General features: G+C 40.2%; 1 annotated feature.

Moving 5' to 3' along the window:
- Positions 2,232-2,825: an enhancer, noted in NCBI's record as "OCT4-NANOG-H3K27ac hESC enhancer chr9:43490487-43491080 (GRCh37/hg19 assembly coordinates)". NCBI's record gives its function as "activates a minimal SCP1, AML or CMV promoter by ChIP-STARR-seq in primed H9 embryonic stem cells {active_cell/tissue: H9 hESC(primed)}" and the evidence as "EXISTENCE:reporter gene assay evidence [ECO:0000049][PMID:30033119]".

The raw sequence follows: 7,554 nt of genomic DNA, 5'->3' as shown, positions 1-7,554 counted from the left end.
ATACATCTATAAAATGTTTTCTTAAGAGTAGAATAAGTTAATCTGTGGATAATAGGTGTGTGTGTGTGTGTGTGTGTGTGTGAGAATAATCCCTCTAAGTCACAGATTTTTACAATACTAATATTTGAAACACCCAAGCACGGGCACAGACAATTATGTTATGTTTCCCTAATTGTCCATAGCTTATCTTCAAAGAATGAAAGAATGTTAGAGATGGAGGGAAGAAACAGCTTAAGGAATTATAAGTAACCTGCAAAACAGAAAAGTATATAGCTGATGTTCACCACCTTTGAATCATGAATAGACTTGGGAGACTAATTTTAAGAATGGCAAAATGTTGAGACAGTTTCTGTGATGTGGTGGAGTAAGACACTTCAGAACGTGTTTGCTCTGACTCACTGGAGCTTGTCTGGCATCAAAAAGGGTGGTTCTTAATTGACCCTTTGTCCACCCTGTCAAGAGCGGTCAAAAGAACACACAATTTAGCAGGTTAAACTATTTTAATTTCATCATTTAATGGGACTTCACAGTATAAATAATAAAATTTACTAGATGTCATATGAAACCCCATGTTTCAGTTCATTTGCCATATTACAGCAATTTTGCAATATTGCAACTTTTTCCTAGTTTTTATAATTTCCTATAAAATGTCTTCTATAATCCATCTATGTGATTTCTAAGGGAAAAAGTGATCTTATGTAAAAGGAAAATAACCTTGGATTTTCACATTAGATAGGAATGTACTCATTCCCATGTCTCCTGGAGGAAAAAAAATAAAGACCCTGTCAAGAAAACATTGACAGTACTATAATTAGTGAGTCCATCATTCATGATTTGGAAATTGACCTCCAAGAAAGTGGAGAAAAAACCCCCTGTCTCACAGAAGGCAAAAATCATTTCCATTTATGTCAAAATACCATCCTTTAAGAAGAAATGGAGGGCACTGATTCTGATGAGAAAGGGGAATGCAAGTCATGAAGGAATTGTGAAATAAACACACAGAGAGGATCTATCCTGTCATTTTATCTCTAAATAAAGAACTGATCGATGTCTTGGACTCATGTTGATGAGTAGTGAGGGATGGATGTAACACTAGCGTCTGTGCCCAGATACACGAGGATAAACGACGTGCTACTTCATGACTCTGAGGATTTGCTGCCAAGATGGATATTTAAAGTGCAGAAATTCTTCCACAATATTGCTGCCCTTACAGAGACAGGGCATTGGTTAGGCCCTGTATTTTATCCAGGCTAACCCCCTCATCATACAGATGAGGAAAATGAGTCCTGGAAAAATTATGATGACAGAACTGGTGAACTCTGACACTTCGGGTTTTGACCTTGGCTAAATTCTTAGATTTTGCCCAAGAACACACTCTAAGGTTTCTCGCTGTAGTTTGACTGTTTTGTTCTGAGGATTTTGGAAATAGTATCTCCTGACAGGATTTCTGTGTTTTTTGCTGCTCAACTGGCTCTGAAATTTCTGAACATGCCTTATGCAGTTTCAACATTCTTCTGTAATCTCTGCTGAAACATTTTTGTACCTATATTTTATATCGATACTTTCAGTGTGTGTGTGAGTGTGTGTATGTATGTTCTAGGACCCACTTGAGAAAGATTACCCAGTCAAAGTTCATATAAATGCTGCATATTGTTAGGTATTGAATAAGTATTTGGTATCTCTTTATGTTATGAAGAAGTAAACAGTGTATCTGCGTTTAAATATGAAGACAGGGTTACAGTGGAGGCATGATGCTATCATCTAGTGACACTCATCTTGCAGTATCATATTTTTACTAGTTAAGTGTTCTTTATTTTAAGTAGGAGGTACAGGATTCTGAAGCATAGTGTAAAAGATTGGAAAAGGTTTCACAGGGAAACCTGTGGGTATGAATCATACATGCTGTGGAAACCAAGGATCTTCTCAAAGTCATAGTTACTGGACTTCATATGAAGCCCTGTGATTAAAGAAGCAAGTCAGCTTAGTAATAGCCAATATTGACTGAAAATCTGAAGGGCATTTGTTTAACCTCCTTAAATAGTTGTTATCCAACAAATCTGCTAAAAAATAGTTTTCAATTATTTAGTACTTACTGCCTTTGTTCACTTAAACACAACTTGCAAATAAGAAGTAGTTATTGCAAAAGGTAGAAATGATCATCCAATGTGCAATTCCTTGTCATGAAAACCCTCCAAGGCTGGTTTAAAACAGAAACTTCCTTAAATGTTCTGCAAATAAAAATTCAAGATAATTAAAATCCAGAACAAAAGAGAAAATATTTACATAAAACACACTTCTACAGTATTTTAATTTATTCTGAATCATCATTGAATAGAATATTTTAATTTGTTCAAGTAAATATTTTACTGTGTTCATGATAGGGGCTTAGTATTTGCAAGTGATGGGCCTTGTTAATCTTCAGAATAAGTTTAAATGACAGCTCAGCAGGGCAGCGTCTCCCGTGCAGCAGCCCCTGTGGAGCAGCAGGAAGGAAGGCTCTGGAGGAAGCCGCAGGAAGCCGATGGCTCCTGTGAGAGACTGCCTGACTGATGCTGTCACGGTATTGACCCTCTCCCTAAGAGCCCTGAGATCACACTCGCCCTTTTTACATCACCCAACAGGGCTGACTTAACATCCAGGGAGGACAAATAAAGGGGAAGAATAAAATAGTCCAACAAAACCAGGACAGAATGCACTTATGTCATTAATGGAGCTACATTCTTACTTTGAATGAATTACCTACATTATGTTACCTTCCTAAAGACTTACTGAAAAAAAGGTGTTCAAGGAACTAAGGGAAACCCAGGGTGGCACTTGAGGTTGAGGGTCACAGACCACACTCTGAATAGCCCTGAGGCTGGGTGCAGGGCCAGGCTGCCTGTGTGCAGATCTCCTGGCCGTGTGTTAGAGGTTGAACCATGCATCTCTCAGAATTCAAATGTTGAATTTTTATTTTATTTTTATTTATTTAGTTTTTTTGAAACAGAGTCTCACTCTGTCACCCAGACTGGAGTGCAATGGCCCTATCTCAGCTCACTGCAACTTCCAACTGCTGGGTTGAAGTGATTCTCCTGCCTCAGCCTCCTGAGTAGCTGGGATTACAGGCACCTGCCACCATGCCCAGCTAATTTTTGTACCTTTAGTAGAGATGGGTTTTTGCCATGTTGGTCAGGCTTGTCTCAAACTCCTGACCTCAGGTGATCTGCCTGCCTCAGCCTCCCAAAGTGCTAGGATTACAGATGTGAGCCACCATGCCCAGCCCATATGTTGAATTTTTAAACACTGAGTACTGCAGAACCCAGGAATTATTTGGACATAGGGTCTTTACATGGGAGTTAAAATGAGGTTGTTGTGAAGGGACCCTAATCCAATTTGACTAATATCCTTGTAAAAAGGGAAATTTGGAGACAGACACACGTAGAGGGAAGATGATGTGAAGAGATCAAAGAAGAAGACAGGTGTCTACAAAACCAGGAAAGAGGCCTGGAATAGATGCTTCGTTCATAGCCTTCAGAAGGAGCCAACCCTGCTGGCACCTTAGTGTTAGACTTCTATCCTCCAGAACTGTCAGACAAAAAATGCCCATTGTTTAAGTCACCCAGTGTGTGGCACTTTGTTATGATGTCTCTAGCAAACTAATATACCTTGTGACCTTGGCAGTTGTGTCTTCCTGCCTCTGTAAAATGCAAATATTACTGATATATTACCTCCTAGGGCTTCTGTGAAGAGGAGATGAGTTAATACATGCAAAGTGCTACAATAGTGCAGACGTAATATTAATACTCAGTAAATGTTAAGATGATTATTAATATCAACATCATCATCACCATTGTATAAAAAAAAGAAAATTGGGGCTGATATCTGATCTCTGCAACTTTACCATGCAGCATCCCTGTCCATTGCTTTTTCTAAATTCTATTATTAACCTTGAGTGTCTTGTAATTGATCATGTTTCAACCTTTCTTTGACAGCAAGTACTCTCAGAAATAAAAGTATTACTCGGACCAAGCAATTGAACAACATATTCATGCATTTATGTTCATGTAGAAATACCAATTATACACGTTTTATTTTATTTTATTCATGACTCTATTTTGTATCTTATACTTTTTTCCCCATTGAAATGAGGTGAATTAAAAATAAAAACTTTATAAATTAATTAGCTGCAAAAATACTTATTTTTGTTTGTTTTTCCAAATGGTTGCAACTTACATAGTGTAAAATACAATTCATGAAAGTGGAAAGATGCAGAAATCAGAATGGAAATGAGAACCAGCAACCTGAGAGTCCCACAGAAATATTCAGTCACATCTGTGTAACCAGGGGCTGTACAGTCTTAGGTGGAGGTATTCCAGATTTTTGTTTCTTAGTTTCTGTCAGATGTAAAATGTGTATGTGGAACTATTGTACACTTTCTTTGTTTGGTAGAGACAGTCTCGCTGTGTTGCCCAGGCTAGTCTCAAATTCCTGGACTCAAGTGATCCTCCCACCTCAGCCTCTCAAAGTGCTGGTACTACAGGTGTGAGCCACCATCCCCAGCCTACTGTGCATTTTCTATTATTTGAAGCAAAATTGGGGCCACAAAGAAGGTCATCTGTAGTATGCCAATAACATAAACCTCTGACATTTCAGTAAAACATTGCCTTTGCCTCTGCATAGTATGCCAGCATGTTCTGCAGGGTGGGCAGCCGCAAGCAGTGGTTAGAACAGGGGCTCTAGAACCAGGGCCTGAACCTGAGGCTGTGCTCTGCTCTCCTTAATAGTGAAATCAGAGGCAAGTTGCTTGACCTTTCTGCTTTGTGTTTCTGCTTTTGCAAGATGCACAATATCTGGTTTGTGGAGTTTTTTGAGGACTAAGGGAGATAGTGATTCCTATCAAATGTTTACCAGAGCCTCTGATAATCTGGGTTTTCTCCCTCCACTTCCTTCCCCTCCTTACTTCTTCAAGATGATTCTATTTAATGGCATGTTGGAAATCATGTCAGCAGTCATAACATGCCAAGGTAAAATGAAACTTTTTTCCTTAAAAGTAGGAGAATGAGGTAAGAGATGATTTTAGAAGTTAAAGCCTACCCAAACATAAAAGGATATGATTTGTGTCACTGTCATCTAAAGTGTCTACTGCTACATTTTCCATGGGGCTGAAGTTTTGATTAAAAAGAATAATGTCATATCCCAGGTGTATCCCTAAATTGGTAACTACTTCCGAAAGTCTTTTTTAAGCTTGTACTTAAATGACATTTTTTTAAGGATAATAGTTTTGTATTATAAAAGATAAATGCACAAAGCAGCTACATGTAAAATGCCACTTTAGGACATGCTGTTCTAACACAAATACTGTCAACATCTCATTTGTGAGTGAACTGACAAGATGTCCAGGGAATGAGTTACAGTGGAGAAAATTCAACGTGCATCACAGAATAGTTACCAGCTCCTGGCCCTCCACAGATGTGGACCTAAAACCACCTGGAGGGCAGAGTCGGCTCCCTCCCGCTGTGAGTGCTTCCTAGTGAGCCAGCAGCTGAAGGCCTCCCTAGCTTCACTTCTCCAGAGTGGGCATGGAGATAACTAGTGAAAGTGGTCACAAAGTCGGGGCCAAGAAGTCTCTAACCCCTAAATCAAGATTGAGAGATACTGGACCGGGCACAGTGTCTCACACCTGTAATCCCAGCACTTTGGGAGGCCTAGGCAGGCTGATCACCTGAGGTCAGGAATTCAAGACCAGCCTGGCCAACATGGTGAAACCCAGTCTCTACTAGAAAATACAAACAAATTTAGCTGGGTGTGGTGGCAGGCTCCTGTAATCCCAGCTACTCTAGAGGCTGAAGCAGGAAGAATTGCTTGAGCCCCGGAGGCGGAGGTTACAGTGAACCCGGATCGTGCCACTGCACCCCAGACTGGGCAACAGAGCGAGACTCAGTCTCAAAAAAAAAAAAAAAGCAAAGAAAAGAAAAAGAAAAAAAGATGGAGAGATACTGGAGAAATTCTTCCTTTATGCATCCCTCATCCTTGCATCAATTTTTTCCTACAAATCAATGGAATGTGCACATATGGGGCATTATTTCACGTTAAAGGAACTAAGTCCATATAAATGATTTGTTTTTTGAGAGGTGAGGTCTCACTTTGTTGCCGAGGCTGGAGTGTAGTGGTGTGATCAGACCTCACTGCGGCCTCCACCTCCCAGGTTCAGATGATCCTCCCACCTCAGCCACCCTAGTAGTTGGGACCACAGGCGTGCCACTGTGCCTGGCAAATTTTTACATTTTTTTGTAGAAATGTTGTCCAGGTTGGTTTTGAACTCCCGGGCTCATGTGATCCTCTCCCCTTGAGCTCCCTATGTGCAAGGATTACAGCTGTGAGCCACTGGGCTTGGCCAAGTAGAAATTATATCCTGCTACTAGTTGACCAAACATGATTCATAAACTATAACTAGTATGGCCGCCATTAATCTAAAAATTAATTTTTAGATTAATGTTTATTGACAGTATCTACTCTATAAAATAAAAAAATAAAATATGCTTTTATGATGTGGACCATAGTATCCATAAGATTGCTTTTCTGTTTGAATTGGCTATAAAAATGGAAAAAGTATCATTTTGTAACTGTGTGGCATTTGCTCATTTATTCAACAATAATACCAGAGTGGAAAGCAACAAGTTAGGTGTGACATAATATAGAAATGGTTTTGTTTTGTTTGTTTGTTCTACATATATTATTAGTAAGGTTTCTCTAGAGTACTGTCTCTCTCTATCTCTTTCTATCTCTGTCTACACATAGACACACACACACACACACACACACACACAGATGTTCCTCAACTTACAATGGGGTTATGTCACAATAAACCCATCATAAGTTTGTTACAGGAAAGAGGTCCAGATCCAGACCCCAAGAGAGGGTTCTTGGATCTTGTGCAAGAAAGAATTCAGGGCGAGTTCACAGTGCAAAATGAAAGTAAGTTTATTAAGAAAGTAAAGGAATAAAAGAATGGTTATTCCATAGAAAGAGCAGCCCCAAGGGCTGCTGATTGCGCTTTTTCTTTTTTTTTTTTTTTGAGATGGAGTCTTGCTCTGTTGCCCAGCCTGAAGTGCAGTGGCACTATCTAGGCTCACTGCAACCTCCCCTTCCAGGGCTCAAGTGATTCTCCTGCCTCAGCCTCCTGAGCAGCTGGGATCTCAGGCGTGCACCACCAGGCCTGGCTAATTTTTGTATTTTTAGTAGAGACAGGGTTTCACCTTATTGGTCAGGCTGGTCTCAAACTCCCGACCTTGTGATCCACCCGCCTCGGCCTCCGAAAGTGCTGGGATTACAGGCGTGAGCCACCACACCTGGCCGGTTGCCCATTTTTATGGTTATTTCTTGAGATTTGCCAAACAACGGGTGGATTATTCATCCCTCCCCTTTTAGACCATATAGGGTAACTTTCTGACGTTGCCATGGCATCTGTAAACTGTCATGGTGCTGGTGGGAGAGTAGCAGTGAGGACGACCAGAGTCACTCTCATCGCAATTTTGGTTTGGGTGGGTTTTGGCTGGTTGCTTTACTGCAACCTGT

This window comes from Homo sapiens, chromosome 9, assembly GCF_000001405.40.
Source record: "Homo sapiens chromosome 9, GRCh38.p14 Primary Assembly".
Classification (NCBI taxonomy): Eukaryota; Metazoa; Chordata; class Mammalia; order Primates; family Hominidae; genus Homo; species Homo sapiens.
The sequence above is the reverse complement of the archived record's forward strand: the minus strand, read 5'-3'. Positions and strand labels throughout refer to the sequence as shown.